The sequence below is a fragment of the Homo sapiens genome, chromosome 8 (genome assembly GCF_000001405.40).
Source record: "Homo sapiens chromosome 8, GRCh38.p14 Primary Assembly".
In the NCBI taxonomy this organism is placed as follows: Eukaryota; Metazoa; Chordata; class Mammalia; order Primates; family Hominidae; genus Homo; species Homo sapiens.
In genome coordinates, this window is record NC_000008.11 from 50,489,676 (window position 1) to 50,516,791 (window position 27,116).

Here is a 27,116-nt window from a genome sequence, read left to right on the forward strand (position 1 = left end):
CCTTTGCCATATGGATAGATTGCAAAAATTTTCTCCCATTCTGTAGGTTGCCTGTTCATACCGATGATAGTTTCTTTGGCTGTGGAGAAGCTCTTTAGTTTAACCCAATTTGTCAGTTTTGGCTTTTGTTGCCATTGCTTTTGGTGTTTTAGTCATGAAGTCTTTGCCCATGCCTATGTCCTGACTGGTATTGCCTAGGTTTTCTTCTAGGATTTTCATGGTTTTAGGTCTTATGTTTAAGACTTTAATCCATCTTGAGTTAATTTATGTGTTAGGTGTAAGCAAGGGGTCCAGTTTCAGTGTCCTGCATGTGGCTAGCCAGTTTTCCCAACACCATTTATTAAATAGGGAATCCTTTCCTCATTTGATTGTTTTTGTCAAGTTTGTCAAATATCAGATGGTTGTAGATGTGTAGCATTATTTCTGAGGTCTCTGTTCTGTTCCATTTGTCTAATTTTCTGTTTTGGTACTACTACTATGCTGTTTTGGTTACTGTAGCCTTGTACTATAGTTCGAAATCAAGTAACATGATGCCTCCAGCTTTGTTCTTTTTGCTCAGGATCGCTTTGGCTATATGAGCTCTTTTTTGGTTCCATATGAAATTGAACGTAGTTTTTTCTAATTCTGTGAAGAAAGTCAATGGTAGCTTGATGGGAATAGCATTGAATCTATAAATTACTTTGGGCAGTAAGGCCATTTTCACGATATTGATTCTTCCTATCCATGTGCATGGAATGTTTTTCCATTTGTGTCCTCTCTTATTTCCTCAAGCAGTGGTTTGTAGTTCTTCTTGAAGAGGTCCTTCACCTCCCTTGTAAGTTGTATTCCTAGGTATTTTATTCTCCTTGTGCAATTGTGAATGGGAATTCACTCATGATTTGGCTCCCTGTTTGTCTATTATTGGTGTACAGGAATGCTTGTGAAGTCAATATTTGAAAGCAACAAAAATTGTCCTGAAGGTTAAAACCGTAAATCCACATTGGAGGAACTGCAGGGGCAGGGGCCCCGGGCAGCCCAGCCCCAGGGGTAGGCAGGCAATGGCTCCTTTAGCTGACCTGAGGTGCCTGCAGCGGGACTTCCTCAGCCTCTATCCACTTGACCTCGACCTTGCTTGTGGACCTGGCAACTCCAGCCTGGGCCTGGGTCCCACGTCCTGAGACTGCCTTAGCTCAGATGCTCCTGCTCCGCCAGGTCCTCCTCAAGGCGGCTACTGCTTCTGGCACTGCAGATAGAGTGGTAGCATATAATGTATAATCAACGAATTTCAAGACAATTTTGGAGCTGGAACCCAAGCCTATCAATCATGTCTACATTGCTCAGACAAGCTCTGCATCAGGAGACTGGAAAAGCCATGCTTGGAAACCTTGGACACAGAGAGCGACCTCACAGATGGAACAGCAAGGACGTGACACAGATGTCCTTGGCCCAGGGCCCTTCCTGCCCCGCTGGGGATGCAGCCACCACGGGTTCTGCCGGGAACCTCTGATCCCAAGCTCCCCAGAGTTTACACGTGACCTGGAGACACACCTCGGACAGCCAACAATTCAGTATTTTGAATCAGTCGGGACAAAACAACGTGACAGTATCAGAATGACGTACCTTAGAAAGAATGACATATTCCTAGGCCTCTGGGAGTTTGCGACAAGTACTTAAGTTGTACACTTTATTATTGGAAAGCTTCATGTACGGGAAAGAAAACAGCCAAGACAAACACAAATGCGTTTTTGATGGATATGGATAAAGGGGAAACCACCGTTCCAATGTTCAAGCAGTGATTCCATCCGAAGACTACACAAGACGACAGAAAGCCCCAGCGAGTGAGCCAGCCGCCGGACAACAGCAATGTCCTTCCTGACTATCGCGGAGCTGGCGGTCAGCAGCCCCTTAGCTCCCATGCCCATCGGAGTACGTGCGCAGCAGGCAAGGGCGACCCCGTGGAAGGACGCGGGCTGAGCTTAGAGGGGCACCCAGCGCTGCTGGAGCCGCCCATGCTGCAAATGCTGTGCTGTGATCCAGAACTTATTTATTTATTTATTTATTTATTTATTTATTTATTTATTTTACTTTAAGTTCTGGGGTACATGTGTGGAAAGTGCAGGTTTGTTACATAGGTATACTTGTGTACTTGTGCCATGGTGGTTTGCTGCACCCATCAACCCATCATCTACATTAGGTATTTCTCCTAATGCTATTCCTCCCCTAGCTCCCCCGCCCCCCTACCACCCGCAGGCCCCAGTGTGTGATGTTCCCCTTCCTATGTCCACGTGTCCTCACTGTTCAACTCCCACTTATGGGTAAGAACATGCAGTGTTTCATTTTCTCTTCCTCTGTTACTTTGCTGAGAATGATGGTGTCCAGCTTCATCCATGCCCCTGCAAAGGACATGAACTCATCCTTTTTTATGACTGCATAGTATTCTATGGTGTATATGTGCCACATTTTCTTTATCCAGTCTATCATTGATGGGCATTTGGATTGGTTCCAAGTCTTAGTTGTTGTAAACAGTGCCTCAATAAACATATGTGTGCATGTGTCTTTATGGTAGAATAATTTATAGTCCTTTGGGTATATACCCAGTAATAGGATTGGTGGGTTAAATGGTATTTCTAGTTCTAGATCCTTGAGGAATTGCCACACTGTCTTCCACAATGGTTGAACTAATTTACCTTCCCACCAACAGTGTAAAAGCAAGCGTTCCTACTTCTCCACATCCTCTCCGGCATCTGTTGTTTCCTGAATTTTTTAGTGATTGCTATTCTAACCGGTGTGAGATGGTATCTCAGTGTGATTTTAATTTGCATTTCTCTAATGACCAGTGATGATGAGCTTTTCTTCATATGTTTGTTGGCCACATAAATGCCTCCTTTTGAGAAGTGTCTGTTCCTGTTCTTTGCCCACTTTTTGATGGAGTTGTTCTTTCCTTGTAAATTTGTTTAAGTTCTTTGTAGATTCTGGATATTAGTCCTTTGTCAGATGGATTGCAAAAATTTTCTCCCATTCTGTAGGTTGCCTGTTCATGCTGATGATAGTTTCTTTGGCTGTGCAGAAGCTCTTTAGTTTAATGAGACGTATTTGTCAATTTTGGCTTTTGTTGCCATTGCTTTTGGTGTTTTAGTCATGAAGTCTTTGCCCATGCCTATGTCCTGAATGGTACTGTCTAGGTTTCCTTCTAGAGTTTTTATGGTTTTATGTATTACGTTTAAGTCTTTAATCCATCTTCAGTTAATTTTTGTATAAGGCATAAGGAAGGGATCCAGTTTCAGTTTTCTGCATACTGGTACCAAAACAGATATATAGACCAATGGAACAGAACGGAGGCCTCAGAAATAACACCACACATCTACAGGCATCTGATCTTTGACAAACCTGACAAAAACAAGCAATGGGGAAAGGATTCCCTATTTAATAAATGGTGTTGGGAAAATTGGCTAGCCATATGCAGAAAACAGAACTCTTAAGATAGTAGAATATACGGAAATACAAACGGGGATTTTGGAGCATGATGGTACAACCAATTCCAACTTTGTTGTAATTTTTAAAATTCTGGCACCTTCTATGCATATGATCCTTTAGATGATATATTCTGTACAGAGGAAGAACCAGATCATCCAACCAAAAACAAATGAATGGATGCCTTACATATTCCTGAATGAACTTTTGAAGAGCTTTTGAGAGGCTGACTTCAAACCGTTTAGGAAACTACATGGAAATTGTGCAGACTTTTCTGGGACTTTTCTAATGTTTGTAATACTGTATTTAGGTTCTTTTCCTATTTTCTTTTAAGGAGTACATTTGGAAATTTAAAACAATTGGCAAACCTTCAATTAGTGTATTAAATGCAGGAGACTTCTGTATTTTGGGCACCTTCCTAATACGCTTTATCATTTAGCACTTTGACTTGAGTGGTGTTGATTAAACATTTGACCAGTAACTATGTTTTTATAAATCTACTGTACAAATTATACAGAGTTTAAGATTTAAGATACAGCTTCTAAGGTCAACGCTGTATATAAGTGTATAATTTTTAAAAAAGATTTTGTACATGGAAATTTTCTATTTATATATATAATATTTTTTACTTCTATATATTGAGAGTATTTAGTATACTTTTATATAAATAAAGACAACTGGTAATTGCTGAAAAAAAACAAAAATAATAAAACCATGTCAAATACAGTCAGGTACCAAATAAAGATAACCATTATCTCCATTATTTTTCAACAAATTTGATGAGTTCCAGCAAATACAGGTAAATAAAAAATTGAAATTTCTTTTAGAAATATTAAAGAGAGCCCTAAGTTGGAGGGTTGCGGGGGATATGCCAGGGAATTTTTTTTTCTATTCCTACTTTTCTTAGAGTTTTCATTAGGAATTGCTGCTCAATTTGACCAAACATCCTTTCAGAATCTTTAATTGAAGGGAGAAACATGTATATATGTATATATACACACACACACACACACACATATATATATACACATATATATATGTACACACACACATACAACTTGTTGAGGAAATTAATTATATTCATAATAATTCATGGATATTTATTCAGGATTTCTCTTTTGAAATAAAGACCACTTGCTCATAGCAAAATTTCATTTCTCACTTGCTGAATTCCATATGCTAATACTGTATTCAAAATACAGTATTGGCATATGTATTTATATTAATAATTGTCTCGTTTATTTTATTTATACTACCACATCTGCCTTTATTTTTAATTTTCATTTAAATTTACTTTAATAAAATGGTTTGAAGATACATGATTTTCTACTGGAATCATCTCTTCTTTAAGAATTAGGTAAAACTCAGTTTTATCACTCTGTTCCTGATGCTTTTTCAAAGTAGAACTTTTATCAATTGTAAAATTTAAATTAACTTTATTAATGGATCTTGAGCTACTCATTTGGCCACATAACAATCAAAAGAAAAAAGAAAATGTTGCTTGAATCATTGAGGAAATCATCTTGGAATTACAACAAATGCTGAAATAGTGTTTCCATAGCCACGTGAACTACCTAATAATGTATTTTACTTCAATTAGTTTAACTCAGAATGATATGTCTCTTTATACACTTTTATTACATAAAATCTTGTTTTAATTGAGTCTTTGAAAACAATGAATTATTTTCAGTCATAGCCTTAAATATTGTCATTACCTTAAATAAGTACAATTTTATCAAATGTTTCAATATTCTTTTCTAACTAAAATAGGTGGCTCTTTTCTATATTGAAATTCAGTGATTTATTATTATTGTATTATGATTAGTTTCACTAAGATTTGTTATTTTTATTAGAGCTGAGAGCTGAAACTGCATTCTTAATTGTAATAAATAATTATCAAAATCAAACATTATTGCATAATTATACATTATTTTAGGCTGAAATTTTAGGAATTGTGAAATTTTAGGAATTGTGAAATTTTAAACTATTCATAGTTCTTTCTTTCATCATATAACCAGATGGACCTTCTTGTTGGGACTTTTCATTTTAAACGACATAAAATTTAGACTAGAAATGCCTATTGAAAGATTCCTATGTCATTTCTACATATTTATGAAGTATTTTTAAAAATTAAAATGCAGAAAAAAATAATAAAGTGAATGAATACATACAATGCCTCCCCAGGAACATCACATTACCTTCCTTGAACTATTATGTTGACGATAATCTGACTCCCCATCCCTAATGTGATGTATTTCTAGCTTTTCCAGCTCTGTCCTGTATCCTGTGGTTGCAGCAACCAAGATGAGAGCTGATGTGACTCAATCATGTCAAATTCTTTTTTTTTTTTTTTTGAGTTATTTCCTCCACGTTCCCAATTATATTTGACTTCACATAGTTGATTAACCCACTACTTCCAAAAGTTATGTGATAAGGTTTTCTTAGATGCAGCTCTATACCCTACTTTCCAGCTGGGTAATTTCTGCTGCTACACTTGATTTACTTTCCAATCCAACAGTAACAGCTCTTGTGAATATTACAGACTCATTTCTTGCTCAAATGCTTCTCTCTTAAGAAGGCCTTATCTCCTGCCCATGGCTAGCAACTGCCATGACCCTGTGAGCAATCTGCAGTTGTGAATGTATATACCTGCAGGAAACCACAGAAGGGTAGTATGCTCCCTCACCCTGCCACCAGAAGACTCCTCTGGAAACATGAATGTGCTGGTAGACACACAAATGGCAGGAGGACTCCCTAACACTGGCATGAAAGCCTTTACATTACCGTTTCAACCAAAGCTGTCACCCAGTAGTTCCTGTAAAAAGCCAAGTTCTTATTTTTCCTTCAGTTCGTAAATGACTGCATAAAAAAAGATACATTTATTTGGTTTCCACGTATAGTCAGTATTTTAGAGTGAACAGTAAAGTGTGTTATAGTTTCTAGATTAGCCTAGTTATTTTATCTGTAAAGTGACCTGTTTCAAAATCAACCCTCAAAGTCATGTTTAAGATCCTTTTCAGATAGGATCCAGAATAAGAAAATAATTTACTATGTCAAGTGGGATGAGTCCAATATCTAAGTGACCGTTTTCCATCATTGTTACTGGCGGGCAGAAATACGTCAATCTGACTCTCTTAAGATCAAAATCTTACTTGATTCCCTGACATCATATGAGGCCAGTTAACTATGATCCTCACAAGCTAATCTTCCTGCCCTTGCTGTCTGTGAAGGGAGGTGTGTGCGTGTTTCCTGATGTGTGCTTAAAATATGCCTAGACAAAGCAGCAGTGCCCTCTTTTTATCAATTAAAAGCAAGCTCAGCTATGGGTATCCTTGGCTTTATATTGCAGAGCAGTGGCAGGTAGCTAAATTCCTCCTTAGAATCTCATAGACGTTAGAATGGCCTCCAAGAGGAAACCAGAAAGGGCAAAGAACCAAAAAATGTTGTATGAACTTTTCTTCTTAATAGATGAATGGAACTTAAGAGCTTTCAGTTCATGAACTGAGTCATTAGATTTGTAGTGGTTTTAATATTAAACACATAAATATCTATTTGAATTTAATTTCTCTTTTCTATTCTTATTGATTGTCACCATTTATCAACCCTCTTGCTTGGGTACTCATCTATAGCAGTTTGAGAGAATAACTGTGCTAATACTTTATCTGATTAAAATTCACAACATTTTATTTGAATTATGAAATGTGAGTGAAAGTAAAAAGGACAACTGGATTTATTGGTTATTTCTTATTTGGCAGGAATAATTCGTTCATTATTATTCAAGATATAGAACCTGTATTTTCCAACCTGACAGTATCAGTCTGATATAATATGCATTTAAAGCATAGAAGAAAAATTGAAAAAAAAAACACTATCTCAATCCTATTCCCTGAAAAGATTAATAAGCCTGCATTAATTAAGAAATGTGTATTTGTCAAAGACTTAAAATTATGATTACACAGATACTCATAAGTGACCTTATATTTTAAAAACTCATTATCTCTTTAGGGTGAGATTTTATTATTGTTTAACGTTCTTATATTTTTCACTTATACTTGAAAAAAACTTTAAGATTGAAGCACAAATATAAAGCTTTAAAAGTAAAGCAACTGCCCAGTGCCTATTTCATAGGCAACCATATTTAACCAATACATGTCATATTTTTCCCATATCTATACCCATATTTACATATTCCCATATTTATATACTTATTCAAAATTGATTTTCATACCATTATTTCTTTTTGTTTAATCCTAGATATTATCTATTGTACACTTAATATAGAATATGAGTACTTAGCTATTTTTTCCACTGCCCCATATATTTTAATTTATCAGAAATTCCCAATAGAGTCACATAATATTGATTATATCAATATATAGAGGTTATAATATAATGTCAATACAAATACATAAGCCAAGTTCATAAATTCATTCTAAGCCAAAAAAAGCAAAAGAAAAAACACTGGAAATTTCAATGAGATTGTCCTAAATCTATAGAAAAATAGGGCAGAATTGTTATCTTCACAGTACTGTGTCCAGCAATCCATGACATAGAATACCCACCAACACAATCAAGGTAATAAAATACTCATTTACCCTAAAAGTTTAATCTTGCCACTGTATAATCTGTCCTTCTGCCTCTTCTCTTCTCCCCATTCCCTGAACAATCACTAATCTGCTTTGTGGCGCTATACATTTGTTTACATTTTCTACAATTTTATGTAAATGTAATCATATAATAGTATGTTTTCTGGCTTCTTTCACTAAATATAATTATTTTATATTTATTCACCTGGTATCATGTACCCATCACTCATTGCTTTTTTTCTTGTTATGTGGAGTCACATTCCATTATAAGGATATATCTCAGTTTGTCTACCCATTTACTTTTTGATGGACATTTGAGTTTTCTAAATTTTCTGATTAAAAATACAGCTGCTATGAATATTCATGAAAAGTATTTGTAAGTACATTTACTCTGATTTCTCTTGGATAAATTTCTAAAAATTAATTTACTAGATCATGTAGTATGGCTTGTTTCAATTTTATGAAATTGCTAAATTATTTTCCAAAATCATTGTGACATTTTCAGTTTTAATTCTTAGTCTCTAAGCATTCCAGTTCCTCCAAAACCTTACACACACTTAGTATGTGAGACATACATAATTTAGACATTTCAGAAGATTTATAGTGGTATCTCATTATAGTTTTAATTTACATTTCACTAATTGCTATTATGTTAAGCATATTTTAATGCACTAATTTGCCTTGAACATAAGTTCAAGGATATACCTGCCTAAGATTTTTCCTCATGTTTTATTAGGCGTTTGTATTATTATTGAGTTTTGAGTGTTCTGAAACATATTCCAAGTATATATTATTTATCAGAAAAAGATTTACAAATATTTTCTCAAAGTTTGTGACTTTCTTAAAAGTATGTTGCATAGAAAAGAATGGTTCAATTTTGATTACTCCCAACTTAACAATTTGTGTTTTTATTGGATGTACTTTTGGATTAATAACTACAAAAATAAATCCTGCCTTAATGCCACAACGGTTTTCTCCAAAGTTTACTTTTAGAAGTTTTATAAGCTTAGACTTTACATTCAGGTAATTGATTCACTCTGAGTTAGTATTAGTATGTCGTGTAAGGTATAGCTCAAAGCTCCTTTTCTTTTCTAATGAGGATTTGAAATAGTTCCAGCACAATTTGTTAAAAAGATTTTACTTTCTCTACTCCATTGCAACATTGTTGAAAAATTGTTGTTTATTTTTGTTTGCATTTATTTCTGGACATATATTATATTAATTATATTACATTATATCATGTTACATTATTATTTTATTTTGCTTTATCTATCTTTTTGATAACACAATGTCTTGATGATTATAGTTTCTTTATATCTCTTAAAATCAAACGATGTTGGTTTAATAGCTTTGCTTTGATTTTCCAAAGGTGGTTTGGTTATCCTGGATTTTTTAAATTTCCACATGAATTTTAATAACAGTTTGTCAATTTTTATAAAAAAGTCTGCTGGGATTTCCATATGGGTTTGATAAATATTGAGTCTTGTGACACATATATTTAAATGTTTAAAAATTACTCATAGCAATGTTTTGTATACAGGGCTTTTACTACTTTTGTTAGATTGATACATAAATATTTCATGGTTTTGGTGATTTTATAGTTTTTTTAAACTAGAAATTCTGATTGTTTATAAAGAAATGTGATTATTTTATATTTATCTTATTTCCTGAAACTCTGCTAGAAAGATTAGTTATGATTAGTTCCAGGAGCTTTTTTTTTTTTTGGTAGATTCTAGTGCACTTTTTGTAAGCCATCATGTCATCTGCAGATAGAGGCTTTTATTCCTTCTTTCCAAATATAGATACCTAAATTTTTTCTCTATATTGTCCTGCCTAGTACCTTTATGGAAATGTTGACTAAAAGTAGACAGTGTGGACACTCTTTTATTTTTTCTAAACTTAGGTCGTTAAGGCCTTTAGTCTTTTACTATTTAGTAATGATATTACCTGTAGGTTTTTTTTTTATAGCTTCCCTATGCCAGTTTGAGGAAGTTCCGTTCTACCATTACTTTGCTTAAAGTGTTCAACAGATATGAATTTTGAATATTGACAAATATTTTTTGATATTTCAACTTAGGTTTTTATGTGGTTAATTACACCAGTTGATCTTCTAATGTTAAACCAACCTTGTATTCCTGGATTAAACTCCATTTGATCATTTTGTATTATCTGATTTGCATTGATCATGTTGTATTGTTTGATTTGTTAAAATATTTAATAATGTTTACATAAGTCCTTTATCTGGCTCCTTTTAAAAGTTTTAAAAGTTTGTTCCTTTTTATCTTTAGTTTGCAATATTTTTATTATGATGTGTCTTAGCGTAGATTTATTTGGCAGGATTCTTTTGAGGTTTGTTAAGCTTCTTAAATCTGTGGGCTCATGTCTGTCATCCAATTGGAGAAATTTTCAGACATTATATGTTTAAATATTCTTTCAGTCCCTCTTCTTTCTCCTCTCCTCTATGACTCATATGATATGCATTTTATACATTTTGTTACTATCCTTCAGGTTACTTTTTCTTTTTTTTTTTTGGTCTATATACTCTATTGTTCAGATAGGGTGAATTCTATTATTCTGTCCTCATCTTTGTTAATTCTACTCTCTCTCATTCCTACTTTGTTATTGAACTATTCCCAAGTGATTTTAAAATTTATGAAAAAATATTTGTATAATATCTATTTGGATATTATAACATAACTTTTTTGGCTGAAATTTTATAATTTTTCACTTGAATCAAAAAGCTTGTAATTTCTTATGGCAACATTTTTGTTGATTGCTTCAAAATCCTTGTCAGAGAGTTCCAATATGTGATTTATCTCATTGGCATTAGTAGATTATTTCTTCCCTTTAAAATTGTGATTTTTCTGATTCTCAATATGACATATACTTTTTACTATATCCTGGTCATTTTGTTTATTATATTAGGTGACTCTGCCTCTTACTTGAGATTTCTTTTTTTAAGCAGAAATTTACCGTTTAGCTCACGGGTTTGTGGTCCATGGTTCCATTTACAATATATGTTTTAGAGCTGTTTGGTGCTGCTTTGTTCTGACTGATTTATCTCGTGTCACTGGGCACCCACTGTTCCCTGCTGGGATTGTTTGAAGGGATGGAAAAAGCTTTCCCAGGTCAGTGCTGGTTATGGAGGGTTCCTCCCTGCTGTAGAGGAGGTAGGATAATGGGGACCTTGGAGCAGGTCTATCTTTGCTGGTACTCTCCACTAGGATGGTGTCTCTAGGCAGAGGAGGATAGTCTCAGGACCTTGACAAAGTGGCCTCCCTCACTGGGCACGTATGAGGAGGTACCCCTGCCAATGATCCTAGTTACACAGTGCCTCTGAGTGGGGCAGAGTGTTCTGAGGCCCAGGGGGAAGGCTAGCACTTCTGCTGGCTTCCCGTTGTCACCGCTCACTGATGTTTGCTGCCTTGCCTGGTATTAGTGCGGCTCCTTTACAATCCAGAGGTGGTATGAGCCTATATAGCGTGCTTTCTGTTTTAATGATGGGGCTGAGAAAGTGCCCGGCCTGTTTGGTGTTCCTCTGGTGGAGCAGGTAAGGTATCCGGCCTCTGTGCTGTCCAGTGCTGGCCTGAGACCCCAATCAGATTTTCCTTCTCCTTCTGTCTTTCAGAGTTCTTATTTGGTTGTCTTTTGTATTTTCTTCAGTGTTTACAGTTGTACTTCTTGGGGAGGAGCAGAGAGAGATGAGCCTGTGCGTTTTTTTTTTTTTTTTTTTTTTTTTTTTTCACGGAGTTTTGCTCTTGCTGCCCAGGCTGGAGTGCAGAGGTGCGGTCTCAGCTCGCTGCAACCTCCGCCTCCCAGGTTCAAACGATTCTCCTGCCTTAGCCTCCCGAGTAGCTAGGATTACAGACGCCTGCCACGAAGACCGGTTATTTTTTTTTATTTTTTTTTTTTTTTTTTGTATTTTTAGCAGAGACGGGGTTTCACCATTTTGGCTAGGCTGGTCTCGAACTCCAGACCTCAGATGATCCACCTGCCTCGGTCTCCCAAAGTGCTGGGATTGCAGGCATGAGCCACCATGCCCAGCCATCTGTGCCATCTTGTCAGGGCCAGAAGTCATTCTAAATTGGTTTCAAGTAGCCAATTCTTTAATTGCGGTTGAACAAGTTTTCTATGTATTTAACAAGATATATTTCCATGTTTATTAACTGCTTTTTCACTGATTATTCTTGTCTCATTTTACATGATAGTTTAAAATTATAAACATATTAATATCTTTTTCAGGTGTGTTTGCTATAAGTAACTCTTCAACTTCTTGTTCTTTTAATTTTTTTTAAATTTTAAAATTTGCACATGGCTTATATTTTTGGATATGATTCTTGGAGAAATTGAAATTATTTTAACTGGAAGAACTAGACTTACTAATTCTGTATTTTAAAAAATGTTGAGAGTTATTGATAATAACAGACTTCAACATTATATTACAACTGATGCTATTGATAATAACAGGTTTGCAGGGGAAAGAAAAGAAAATATTAAGTAGAATATGTAATGCCTATTTATTTTTTGCAAGAGGATTAGAGTGAATTGGGTCAATTTGCTTTAATCTGAATTAGTACTCTGGTCAATATTGGCAGAATCAGATTTTTATGCTTTTCGAATCATTTTCTCTTACATCTTAGCTTATTTTATGTTACATAACATATGCTCCAAAGCTTATCCAATTTATTGGTGCAAAATAGGTGCTCAACAATTATTAATAATTTACCAATAAATACAGTGACCTGAACATTCTATCTGCCTTTCTGTGGACTTCTTGATTCCTCATATTGCCTAATATAGAGCATAAACTCAGGAAGACCTCAACAAGTATGAATGGAAGATTCACGTTGTGTATAAACAGGTGATCACAGAATGTGACAAGAGGATGAACATTGATGGCTCTTACTGCAATGATAAATAATTAGCTCCCTCTATCTTTTATAAAATGTTTCTGAATACTAGGGAAAAATGGAAGGTGGAAGAAACAACCAATAATTTCAAGGCTTTGCCATCATATAACATGATAAATGTAATGATGATTGTATTCTTTTTATTCTTTTTTTCAGGTTCAGGTTCTTCGGAATGCTGGAGAAGAAGTGACTCTAACAGTGTCATTTTTAAAAAGAGCACCTGCTTTCCTCAAACTCCCATTGAATGAAGATTGTGCATGTAAGCATTTATAAAGAATAGATAAAAGTGCTCACATCATTATAGTTACATAATTATTATTTTGACAATAATTGGTGATTTCTTCTTAAAGTTGAGATTTTTGCCTGACTGTAAACATTTTTATATTACAAAGTGTTCTACTAACCTTTATGAAAAGGGAACAGATGTTATTTTTCTTGAAGAATAGATTCACCACATTACAGTTTTTTCTAACCTACAATTGGAGAAGTATTATTTGTTTTAAAAATAGGCATATCAAATATCATGTATGCATTATGCATGTCTATTAAATTTCATCAGAATATTTGGTGAATGTATTTTCTCTAACTAAAAATTAATACTAAACAAGAATATGTGCTTAAGTTATTCTGATGAGAGAAGATGAAAAAAAGCGTTTGCCTTTGAGGGAATGTACTAATTTACATAGAACTACTTAAAAAGTTATTTGTCAATTTTATTTTCATGTTCCATTTTCTAAAATGAAATGTATATTATCTAATGCTTTTGCTGAAAAATTGAAGAATAATATATGTTTCACTGAGACATAATTTGTATGCAATAAAATACAAAGATCTTGCACAGTCGGATCAGTTCTGAAAAGGCACACATTTGCTTAATCCACTTCTTACAATCATAAAACTGTTCCCAGTAAATAACAGCCCAGAAATGACTACTCACTTACACTCTCTTCTTCATACATTATTTTGCCTCTTCTAGAACTTTACAGAATGGAATTATACTTAATTTTTTATTCTGGCGTCTTTCATTATGAATAATTTCCTTCAGATTCACTTATTTCTTAGATTCACATATTTCTTAGTTTGTTCATTTATATTGCTGTTTATTTTGCTGTTTATTATTCCATTGTATGAATGTACTACATTTATTAATGCATCTTTCTGTTGAAGATACCAGCACTGTTCCCAGTATTTTGCTATAATAAATAAAGCTGCTGGAAACGTTCTTTTATTTAACTTTTATTTTAAGTTCAGGGGTACAAATGCAGGGTTGTAACATAGGTAAACTTTTGTCATGGGGGTTCGTTGTACACAAACCAGTTATTGAAATTAGTACCCATTAGTTATTTATCCTGATCCTGTCCCTCCTCCCACCCTACATCCCACTGAAAGGCCACAGTGTGTGTGGTTCTCCTCTATTTGTCTATGTGTTCTCATCAAATAGCTCTCACTTGTAAGTGAGAATGTGAAGTATTTGGTTTTCTGTTCCTGTGTTAGTTTGCTAGGGATAATGGCCTCCAGCTCCATCCATCCATGTCCCTGCAGTGGACATGATCTCGTTCTTTTTTATGGTGACATAGTATTCCATGGTGTATATGTACAACATTTTTGTTATCCAGTCTAACACTAATAGGCATTTAGGTTGATTCTATGTCTTTACTATTGTGAATAGTGCTGCAATGAACATACACATGCATGCGTCTTTATAATAGAATGATTTATATGTATTGGGTATATACCATTTGACCCAGCAATCCCATCACTGGAAGCTTCTTGTATAAGGCTTTTGGCAGTTTTGTAATTTTATTTTATTACAATAAGTACTTAAGAATTGAATTGCTGAGTGACTAGAAAGATGTATAATTAACTTGTTAATAAATTGCCGAATTTAGGTGGGGTGCAGTGGCCCATGCGTGTAATCCCAGCATTTTGAGAGGCTGAGGCCGGCAGATCACCTAAGCTCAGGAGTTCAAGACCAACTTGAACAACATGGCAAAATGCCATCTCTACCAAAAATACAAAAAAACCCCAAAATAGCCAGGCATGGTAGCATGTGCCTGTGGTTCCAGCTACTTGGGAGTCTGAGGTGAGAGGATGGCTTGAGCCTGGTAGGCTGAGGATGCAGTGAGCTGAGTAAGACCCCATCTCAAAAATAAATAAATAATTAATTAAAATAAATAAATTGTGAAATTTATTTCCAAAGTGAGCATGTTATTTATTGTGGTAAATAACACATAACATAAAATTTACCATCTTTACCATTTTAAGTGTTCAGAAGAGTAGCCTTAAGTCTATGTACATTATTGCGTAACATATCACCAGAAACTTTTGATATTGCAAAATGGAAATTCTATACCCCTTAAACAATTCCCTATTTTCCCCAGACCCACCCACTGGCAAACACCATTGTATTTTGTTTATAAGAATTTGACTACTTTAGACACCTTATGCACTTGGAATAATCCAGTATTTTCTTTTGGTGATTAGCTTATTTCATTTAGCATAATGTCCTTAAGACTCATCTATGTTGTAGAATAGGACAAAATTTCATTCCTATTTAAGAATGAATAACATTCTTTCATATGCATATACCACATATTCTTTATTCAGCCCTCAAACAGTGAGCATTTAGATTGGTTCCACATCTTTGTTATTGTGAATAATGCTACAATGAACATGAGTGTACAAATATCATTCACAACTCTGCTTTCGGTTATTTTGGATACATACTCAGAAGTGGGATTCCTGGATCATATGTTAATTCTATTTTTAATTTTTTGAAGAATGACCATACTGTTTTCCATAGTAGCTGCATCATTTTACACTCTTAAGTAACAGGCAAAGCTTCCAATTTCTACATATCCTCACCAGCACTTCTTATTTTCTGTTTTTTTGCTTTGTTTTGTTTTGGTTTTGATAGTGGCCATTCTAATTGTTGTCAGATGATAATTCACTGTGGTTTTGATTTGAATTTCCCTGATAATCAGTAATCTTAAGCGTCTTTTCACATATTTATTGGCCATTTGCATATTTTCTTTGAAGACATGTCTATTCAAGTCTACTATCCAGTTTTAAATCTGGTTATTTGTTTTGCTGTTGTTGAGTTGTAAGAATTCTTCAGATACTCTGGCTATTAACGTATTACCAGACATATGGTTTGAAAATATTTTCTCCCATTTCAAAGGTTGCTGTTTCACTCTGTTGATCATTTTATTTATTTTACAAAATTTTTAATTCTTCTGTAGTCAAGTCTATTTTTGCTTCTAATGCCTGTGTTTTTGGTGTCATATTCAGAAAATAATTGCCAAATCCAATGTCATAAAGATTTTTCTCTAATTTTTCTGCTAGGATTTTTTACAGCTCAAATCTAATGTTTAGGTATTTGATTTGTGTTGAGTCAATTTTTATACATAGTATAAGGTAAGTGCCCAACATTCTTTTGCATGAGGATATCCAGTTTTCCCAATATAATTAATTGAAGAGAAGACTATTCTTTCCCTATTGTATAACCTTAACATGTTTGTTTAAAATAATTTCATCACATATTGAGGGTTAATTTTGGGATTATTCCGTTCCATTGTTCTATGTGTCTGCATTAATGCCAGTACCACATTGTTTTTATTATTGCAGCTTTGTAATGTATCTTGAGTTCAGAAAGTGTAAAGCCCCAGCTCTGTTTTTCTTTCTCAAGAATTTTTGACTATTCAGAATTCGTTGAGGTTTTGTATGAAGTTTAGGATAGTTTTTCTATTTCTGCAAAATAATACCATAGAGATTTTGATAGGGATTGCATTGAACCTGTAGATTGCATTGCTTAGCATGAACATTTTAACAATATTAATTCTTCCAGTGTATCAGCATGGGATGTCTTTCTATTTATTTGTTTCATCTTTAATTTCTCAATGATATTTTGTGGTTTTCAGTGTAAAGTCTTTAAAATTTTGGGTGAGATTATTCCTAATTATTCTTTTTGATGCTATTATCAATAAAATTGTTTTTTTATTGTTAATGGATAGAAACAACTGAATTTTTATGTTGTCTATTCTGCAACTTCCTTAAACTTGTTTATTAGATCTAACATTTTTGTGTGTGTGTTTAAACTTTAGAGTTTTCTACATATAAGCTCATATCTGCAAACAAAGATAATTTTACTTCTTCATTTGAATTTGGGTGACTTTTATTTCTTAGTCTTGCCTAATTGCTTCTGGCTAGAACTTTTGGTTGTATGTTGAATAGAAGACTTGAGAGTGGGCATCCTTGCCTTATTCTTAATCTTAGAGGGAAAGCTTTCAGTTTTCCATTATTCAGTATAATGTTAGCTATGGGCTTTTTATATATGAATGACCTTTATTATGTAGAGGTAATTTCCTTCTATTCCTAGTTTGTAAAATGTATTATGTTTTAAATTGTGAAAATATTGAATTTGGCAAATGCTTTTTTCTTCATCAACTGAGGTGTCTATGTGGGATTTTTTTTTCTGCCATTCTGTTATTGTGATGTGTTAATTACATAGATAGATTTTTTTTCATGTTGAACCATCCTTGCATTTCAGGAATAAGTCACACTTGATCATGGTGTATAATCTTTTAAATTTGTAGTTGAATTCAGTTTTTTAGTATCTTTTTGAGGACCTTTGCATTAATATTCATCAGGAATATTGGTTTGTAGTTTTATTTTTTGTAGTATCTTTGCTTGGTTTCAGTATCTGGGTAATGTTCACTTCAAGCTGGAAACTGCTTTCCCCTCATCAAATTTTTTTGAAAGAGTATGAGAAAGATCAGTGCTAATTCCTCTTTAAATGCTTGGTAAAGTTCTACAGTAAAACCATCTGGTCATGGGCCCTTCGTATTTTGTGAGGAATTTATTAATGATTCAATTTCCTTACTAGTTCTATGTCTGTCTGTATTTTTTGTTTCTTCATAATTGATTGTTGGTATGTCACATATTTCTAGAAGGTTATCTATTTTTTCTAGATTATTCAGTTTGTTGGCACATAATTGTCCATATTACTCTTTAACAATCATTTTGGTTTTTGTGGCATCAGTTGTAATGTCTACTATTTCATTTCTTTTTTTTTAATTATACTTTAAGTTTTAGGGTACATGTGCACAACGTGCAGGTTAGCTACATAAGTATACATGTGCCATGTTGGTGTGCTGCACCCATTAACTCATCATTTAACATTAGGTGTATCTCCTAATGTTATCCCTTCCCCCTCCCCACACCCCCAAACAAGCCCTGGTGTGTGATGTTCCCCTTCCTGTGTCCATGTGTTCTCATTGTTCAATTCCCACCTTCATTTCTTTTTTTTTATTATACTTTAAGTTTTAGGGTACATGTACACAACGTGCAGGTTAGTTACATATGTATACATGTGCCATGTTGGTATGCTGCCCCCATTAACTCATCATTTAACGTTAGATATATCTCCTAATGCTATCCCTCCCCACTCCCCACTCCCCTCAACAGGCTACGGTATGTGATGTTCCCCTTCCTGTGTTCATGTGTTCTCACTGTTCAGTTCCTACCTATGAGTGAGAACAAGCAGTGTTTGGTTTTTTGTCCTTGCGATAATTTGCTGAGAATTTTATGGTTTCCAGTTTCATCCATGTCCTTACAAAAGACATGAACTCATCATTTTTTATGGCTGCATAGTATTCCATGGTGTATATGTGCCACATTTTCTTAATCCAGTCTATCATTGTTGGATATTTGGCTTGGTTCCAAGTCTTTGCTATTGTGAATAGTGCCACAATAAACATACGTGTGCATGTGTCTTTATAGCAGCATGACTTATAATCCTTTGGGTATATACCCAGTAATGGGATTGCTGGGTCAAATGGTATTTCTAGTTCTAGATCCCTGAGGAATCGCCACACTGACTTCCACAATGGTTGAACTAGTTTACAGTCCCACCAACGATGTAAAGTTTTCCTATTTCTCCACATCCTCTCCAGCACCTGTTGTTTCCTGACTTTTTAATGATCGCCATTCTAACTGGTGTGAGATGGTATCTCATTGTGGTTTTGATTTGCATTTCTCTGATGGCCAGTGATGATGAGCATTTTTTCATTTGTCTGTTGGTGGCATAAATGTCTTCTTTCAAGAAGTATCTGTCCATATCTTTCACCCACATTTTGATGGGATTGTTTGTTTTTTTCTTGTAAATTTGTTTGAGTTCATTGTAGATTCTGGATATTAGCCCTTTTTCAGATAAGTAGATTGCAAAAATTTTCTCCCCTTCTGTAGGCTGCCTGTTCACTCTGATGGTGGTTTCTTTTGCTGTGCAGAAGCTCTTTAGTTTAATTAGATCCCATTTGTCAATATTGGCTTTTGTTGCCATTGCTTTTGGTGTTTTAGACATGAAGTCCTTGCCCATGCCTATGTCCTGAATGGTATTGCTTAGGTTTTCTTCTAGGGTTTTTATGGTTTTAGGTCTAACATTTAAGTCTTTAATCTACCTTGAATTAATTTTTGTATAAGGTTTATGGAAGGGATCCAGTTTCAGCTTTCTACATATGGCTAGCCAGTTCTCCCAGCACCATTTATTAAATAGGGAATCCTTTCCCCATTGCTTGTTTTTGTCAGGTTTGTCAAAGATCAGATAGTTGTAGATATGCAGCATTATTTCTGAGGGCTCTGTTCTGTTCCATTGGTCTCTATCTCTGTTTTGGTACCAGTACCATGCTGTTTTGGTTACTGTAGCCTTGTAGTTTGAAGTCAGGTAGCGTGATGCCTCCAGCTTTGTTCTTTTGGCTTAGGATTGACTTGGCGATGCGGACTCTTTTTTGGTTCCACATGAACTTTAAAGTAGTTTTTTCCAATTCTGTGAAGAAACTCATCGGTAGCTTGATGGGGATGGCATTGAATCTATAAATTACCTTGGGCAGTATGGCCATTTTCACGATATTGATTCTTCCTACCCATGAGCATGGAATGTTCTTCCATTTGTTTGTATCCTCTTGTATTTCATTGAGCAGTGGTGTGTAGTTCTCCTTGAAGAGGTCCTTCACATCCTTTCTAAGTTGGATTCCTAGGTATTTTATTCTCTTTGAAGCAATTGTGAATGGGAGTTCACTTATGATTTGGCTCTCTGTTTGTCTGTTATTGGTGTGTAAGAAGGCTTGTGAGTTTTGCACATTGATTTTGTATCCTGAGACTTTGCTGAAGTTACCTATCAGCTTAAGGAGATTTTGGGCTGAGATGATGGGGTTTTCTAAATATACAATCATGTCATCTGCAAGCAGGGACAATTTGACTTCCTCTTTTCCTAATTGAATACCCTTTATTTCCTTCTCCTGCCTGATTGTCCTGTGCAGAGCTTCCAACACTATGTTGAATAGGAGTGGTGAGAGAGCATCCCTGTCTTGTGCCAGTATTCAAAGGGAATGCTTCCAGTTTTTGCTCATTCAGTAGACTATTGGCTGTGGGTTTGTCATAGATAGCTCTTATTTCTTTGAGATACATCCCATCAATAACTAATTTATTGAGAGTTTTTAGCATGAAGGGTTGTTGAATTTTGTCAAAGGCCTTTTTTGCATCTATTGACATAATCATATGGTTTTTGTTGTTGGTTCTGTTTATATGCTGGATTACATTCATTGATTTGCATATGTTGAGCCAGCCTTGCATCCCAGGGATGAAGCCCACTTGATCATGTTGGATAAGCTTTTTGATGTGCTGCTGGATTTGGTTTGCCAGTATTTTATTGAGGATTTTTGCATCGATGTTCATGAGGGATATTGGTCTTAAATTGTCTTTTTTTGTCGTGTCTCTGCCAGCCTTTGTTATCAGGATGATGCTGGCCTCATAAAATGAGTTAGGGAGGATTCCCTCTTTTTCTATTGATTGGAATAGTTTCAGAAGGAATGGTACCAGCTCCTCTTTGTACCTCTGGTAGAATTCAACTGTGAATCCATCTGGTCCTGGACTTTTTTTGGTTGGTAAGCTATTAATTATTGCCACAATTTCAGAGCCTGTTTTTGGTCTATTAAGAGATTCAACTTCTTCCTGGTTTAGTCTTGGGAGGGTGTATATGTCGAGGAATTTATCCATTTCTTCTAGGTTTTCTAGTTTTTTTGCGTAGAGGTGTTTATAATATTCTCTGATGGTAGTTTGTATTTCTGTGGGATCGGTGGTGATATCCCCTTTATCATTTTGTATTGCATCTATTTGATTCTTCTCTCTTTTCTTCTTTATTAGTCTTGCTAGCGGTCTATCAATTTTGTTGATATTTTCAAAAAACCAGCTCCTGGATTCATTGATTTTTTGAACAGTTTTTTGTGTCTCTATTTCCTTCATTTCTGCTCTGATCTTAGTTATTTCTTGCTTTCTGCTAACTATTGAATGTGTTTTCTCTGGCTTCTCTATTTCTTTTAACTGTGATGTTAGGGTGTCAATTTTAGAACTTTCCTGCTTTCTCTTGTGGGCATTTAGTGCTATAAATTTCCCTCTACACACAGCTTTGAATGTGTCCCAAAGATTCTGGCATGTTGTGTCTTTCTTCTCATTGGTTTTAAAGAACATCTTTATTTCTGCCTTCATTTAGTTATATACCCAGTAGTCATTCAGGAGCAGGTTGTTCAGTTTCCATGTAGTTGAGCGGTTTTGACTGAGTTTCTTAATCCTGAGTTCTAGTTTGATTGCACTGTGGTCTGAGAGAGAGTTTGTTATAATTTCTGTTCTTTTACATTTGCTGAGGAGTGCTTTACTTCCAACTATGTGGTCAATTTTGGAATAGGTGTGGTGTAGTGTTGAAAAGAATGTATATTCTGTTGTTTGGGGTGGAGAGTTCTGTAGATGTCTATTAGGTCTGCTTGGTGCAGAGCTGAGTTCAATTCCTGGATATCCTTGTTAACTTTCTGTCTCATTGACCTGTCTCATGTTGACAGCGTAGTGTTAAAGTCTCCCATTATTATTGTGTGGGAGTCTAAGTCTCTTTGTAGGTCTCTAAGGACTTGCTTTATGAATCTGGGTGCTCCTGTATTCAGTCCATGCATATTTAGGATAGTTAGATCTTCTTGTTGAATTGATCCCTTTACCATTATGTAATGGCCTTCTTTGTCTCTTTTCATCTTTGTTGGTTTAAAGTCTGTTTTATCAGAGACTAGGATTGCAACCTCTGCCTTTTTTTGTTTTCCATTTGCTTGGTAGATCTTCCTCGATCCCTTTATTTTGAGCCTATGTGTGTCTCTGCACGTGAGGTGGGTTTCCTGAATACAGCACACTGATGGGTCTTGACTCTTTATCCAATTTGCCAGTCTGTGTCTTTTAATTGGAGCATTTAGCCCATTTACATTTAAGGTTAATATTGTTGTGTGTGGATTTCATCCTGTCATTATGATGTTAGCTGGTTATTTTGCTCGTTAGTTGATGCAGTTTCTTCCTAGCCTCGATGGTCTTTACAATTTGGCATGTTTTTGCAGTGGCTGGTACTGGTTTTTCCTTTCCATGTTTAGTGCTTCCTTCAGGAGCTCTTTTAGTGCAGGCCTGGTGGTGACAAAATCTCTCAGCATTTGCTTGTCTGTAAAGTATTTTATTTCTCCTTCACTTATGAAGCTTAGTTTGGCTGGATATGAAATTCTGAGTTGAAAATTCTTTTCTTTAAGAATGTTTAATATTGGCCCCCAGTCTCTTCTGGCTTGCAGAGTTTCCACCGAGAGATCAGCTGTTAGTCTAATGGACTTCCCTTTGTGGGTAACCCGACCTTTCTCTCTGGCTGCCCTTAACATTTTTTCCTTCATTTCAACTTTGGTGAATCTGACAATTATGTGTCTTGGAGTTGCTCTTCTCGAGGAGTATCTTTGTGGTGTTCTCTGTATTTCCTGAATTTGAATGTTGGCCTGCCTTGCTAGATTAGGGAAGTTCTCCTGGATAATATCCTGCAGAGTGTTTTCCAACTTGATTCCATTCTCCCCATTACTTTCAGGTATATCAATCAGACATAGATTTGGTCTTTTCACATAGTCCTATATTTCTTGGAGGCTTTGCTCGTTTCTTTTTATTCTTTTTTCTCTAAACTTCTCTTCTAGCTTCATTTCATTCATTTGATCTTCCATCCTTGATACCCTTTCTTCCAGTTGATCGAATTGGCTACTGAGGCTTGTGCATTCATCATGTAGTTCTCGTACCTTGGTTTTCAGATCCATCAGGTCCTTTAAGGACTGCTCTGCATTGGTTATTTTAGTTAGCCATTCATCTAATTTTTTTTCAAGGTTTTTAACTTCTTTGCCATGGGTTCGAACTTCCTCCTTTAGCTTGGAGTAGTTTGATCATCTGAAGCCTTCTTCTCTCAACTCATCAAAGTCATTCTCAATCCAGCTTTGTTCTGTTGCTTGTAAGGAGCTGTATTCCTTTGGAAGAAGAGAGTCACTCTGATTTTTAGAGTTTCCAGTTTTTCTGCTCTGTTTTTTCCCCATCTTTATGATTTTATCTACCTTTGGTCTTTGATGATGGTGATGTACAGATGGGGTTTTGGTGTGGATGTCCTTTTTGTTTGTTAATTTTCCTTCTAACAGTCAGAACCCTCAGCTGCTGGTCTGTTGGAGTTTGCTGGAGGTCCACTCCAGACCCTGTTTGCCTGGGTATCAGCAGTGGAGGCTGCAGAACAGCGGATATTGGTGAGCAGCAAATATTGCTGCCTGATCGTTCCTCTGGAAGTTTTGTCTCAGAGGAGTACCTGGCCGTGTGAGGTGTCAGTCTGCCCCTACTGGGGGGTGCCTCTCAGTTAGGCTACTCGGAGGACAGGGACCCACTTGAGGAGACAGTCTGTCCATTCTCAGATCTCCAGCTGTGTGCTTGGAGAACCACTGCTCTCTTCAAAGCTGTCAGACAGGGATATTTAAGTCTGCAGAGGATTCTGCTGCCTTTTGTTTGGCTATGCCCTGCCCCCAGTGGCGGAGCCTACAAAGGCAGGCAGGCCTCTTTGAGCTGCGGTGGGCTCCACCCAGTTTGAGCTTCCTGGGTGCTTTGTCTACCTACTCAAGCCTTGGCAATGGCGGATGCCCCTCCCCAGCCTCACTGCTGCCTTGCGGTTTGATCTCAGACAGCTGTGCTAACAATGAGTGAGGCTCCGTGGGCATAAGACCCTCCAAGCCATGCGCAGGATATAATCTCCTGGTGTGCCGTTTGCTAAGACCGTTGGAAAAGTGCAGTATTAGGGTGGGAGTGACCCAATTTTCCAGATGCTATCTGTCACCCCTTTCTTTGACTAGGAAAGGGAATTCCCTGACCCCTTGCACTTCCTAGGTGAGGCAATGCCTCGCCCTGCTTCAGCTCACGCTCAGTGCACTGCACCCACTCTCCTGCACCCACTTTTTGACATTCCCCAATGAGATGAACCCAGTATCTCAGTTGGAAATGCAGGAATCACCCGTCTTCTGCATCGCTCATGCTGGGAGCTGTAGACTGGAGCTGTTCCTATTTGGCCATCTTGGCTCCCCCTGCAATATTTCACTTTTAATTTTTATTTGCATATTTTACTTTTTTTTATTAGCCTAGTCAAGGTTTCGTCAATATTGTTGATCTTTTCAATAAACCAACTATTTGCTTAGTTGATTTTCTATACTGTATTTCTTTTTTCCACTTTATTTATTTCTGCTCTAATCTTTATAATGGCTCTCCTTCTGCTACCTTGGGTTTAGTTTGTTTCTTTTTCTAGTTTTTGAATGGTAAAATTTGGTTGCTGATTTGAGGTTTTTAAATTATTTTGCAACATAATGCTTTAAAATACATATGTTTACTGATAAAATTTTCTCTCTTTGTAATGCTTTTGCTGCATCCCATGAATTTTTGTATGTTGTGTTTCATTTTAATTTGTTGGATATTGTTTAAAATATTTTTAAGTCCCTTGTGATTTCTTTTTGACTTATTGGTTTTTCAAAACTTCATTGTTTAATTTCCACTCATTTGTGTATTTTTCAGTTCTCTCTCTGCTATTGATTTCCATTTTAATTCCATTGTATCAGAAAAGATATTTGATATGATTTCAATCTTCTTAAATTTAATAAGATTTGTTTTGTGACCACATATGTAAACTATTAGGGAGAATATTTTGTGTACACATAAGAAGAATGTATATTTTATTATTGTTGAGTGAAGTGTTCTGTATATGTGTTAAGCCAAATTAGTGCTTAGTGTCACACATGTCCTCCATTTTGTTATTCTTTCTGTGTAGTGGTTCTATAAATTAGTAGCAGTTGAGGACTTAAATGTCATACTATTATTGTGTTGCTGTCTATCCCTTTAATTCTGTCAAAGTTTGCTTCATATATTTGGATATTTGGCTGTTAGGTGCCTATATATATTTATAATTGTTATATCTTCATGGTGAATTGACAGTTTTACTATTATAAAATATCTTTCTTTGTGAAGGTTTTTATAGTTAAAGTCTATTTTTGTCTGGAATAAATATGGTCACTCTGCTCCCTTTTATATCATTTGAATGAAATATTTTTCTCTATCATTTCATTTTCAGCCTGTGCTCATCATTAAATATAAAGAGAGTCTGTAGTTGACAGCATACATAAGCATATCTTGGAGATATTGCCGGTTTAGATCCAGATCAGCAAAATAAAGGGAATATAGCAATAAAACAAGACACACAAATTATTTGGCTTCTTGTTGCATATAAAAGTTATGCTTATTCTTATATTATAGTCTATCAAATGTTCCATAACGGCATTATGTGTAAAAATACACATACCTTAATTTAAAATATTTTATGCTAACTGGGCAGCCATTTGGGCAGACAACAAGCTAGCTGCAGGAGTTTTTTTTTTTTTTTTTTTTTTTTTTTTGTTACTCCAGTGGATCCTGGAATGCCAATGAGACAGAACCATTCACTCCCCTGGAAAGGGGGCTGAAGCCAAGGAGCCAAATGGTGTAGCTCAGCAGATCCCACCCCCACGGACCCTAGCAAGCTAAGATCCACTGGCTTGAAATTCTCGCTGCCAGAACAGCAGTCTGAAGTTGATCTGGGACACTCAAGCTTGATGGGGGGAAGGGCGTCTACCATTACTGAGCCTTTAGTAGGCGGCTTTCTCCTCACAGTGTAAACAAAGTTGCTGGGAACTTCTAACAGGGTAGAGTGCACCACAACTCTGCAAAGCCACTGTAGCCAGACTGCCTCTCTAGATTCCTCCTCTTTGAGCAGGGCATCTCTGAAAGAAAGGCAGCAGCCCCAGTCAGGGGCTTATAGATAAAACTCCCGTCTCCCTGGGACAGAGCACCTGGGGGAAGGGGCGGCTGTGGGCACGGCTTCAGCAGACTTAAACGTTCCTGCCTGCCGGCTCTGAATGGATCTCCCAGCACAGAGTGCAAGCTCTGCTAAGGAACAGATTCCCTCCTCAAGTGGGTCCCTAACCCCCATGCCTCCTGACTGGGAGATGCCTCCCAGCAGAGGTCGACAGAAACCTCATACAGGAGAGCTCTGGCTGGCATCTGGCAGGTACACCTCTGGGAAGAAGCTTCCAGAGAAAGGAACAGGCAACAATTTTTGCTGTTCTGCAGACTCCGCTGGTGATACCCAGCAAACAGGGTCTGGAGTGGACCTCCAGCAAAATCCAGCAGACTTGCAACATAGGGGCTTGATTGTTGGGAGAAAAACTAACAAACAGAAAGAAATAGCATCACCATCAACAAAAAGGACATCCACAAAAAATCCCATCCAAAGGCCCCATCATCAAACACCAAAAATAGATAAGTCCACAAAGATGAGGAAAAACCAGCACACAAAGTCTGAAAATTCCAAAAACCAGAACACCACTTCTTCTCCAAATTATCACAACTCCTCACCAGCAAGGGAACAAAACTGGATGGAGAATGAGTTTGATGAATTGACAGTAGTAGTCTTCAGAAGGTGGGTAATAACAAACTCCTCTGAGCTAAGGGATCATGTCCTATCCCAATGCAAGGAAGATAAAAACCTTTAAAAAAAGGTTAGAGGAATTGCTAACTAGAATAAGTTTAGAGAAGAATATAAATGACCTGATGGAGCTGAAAAACACAGCATGAGAACTTTGTGAAGCATGCACAAGTATCAATAGCCAAATTGATCAAATAGAAGAAAGGATATCAGAGATTGAAGATTAACTTAATGAAATAAAGTATAAAGACAAGATTAGAGAAAAAAGAATGAAAAGGAATGAACAAAGTCTTCAAGAAATATGGGACT

The 27,116-nt window shown here is 36.0% G+C and overlaps 1 protein-coding gene and 1 pseudogene across 21 annotated transcripts in view; both read left to right on the forward strand.

The window, feature by feature from the left end:
• The window catches only part of SNTG1 (syntrophin gamma 1), an 886,897-nt gene that overhangs the window by 579,880 nt on the left and 279,901 nt on the right, over positions 1-27,116 (forward strand). For all 21 annotated transcript variants that reach the window (NR_135796.2, NR_135795.2, NR_135797.2 and 18 more), the window contains one exon: positions 13,103-13,205. Coding sequence is in view for 16 of the 21 variants with exons in the window: in NM_001287813.3 (NP_001274742.1) it covers positions 13,103-13,205 (103 nt within the window). In the remaining 5 variants the exon portion in view is untranslated. The remainder of the gene's footprint in view (positions 1-13,102; positions 13,206-27,116) is intronic.
• On the forward strand, positions 1,120-1,697 carry LOC100422267 (coagulation factor III, tissue factor pseudogene; annotated as a pseudogene).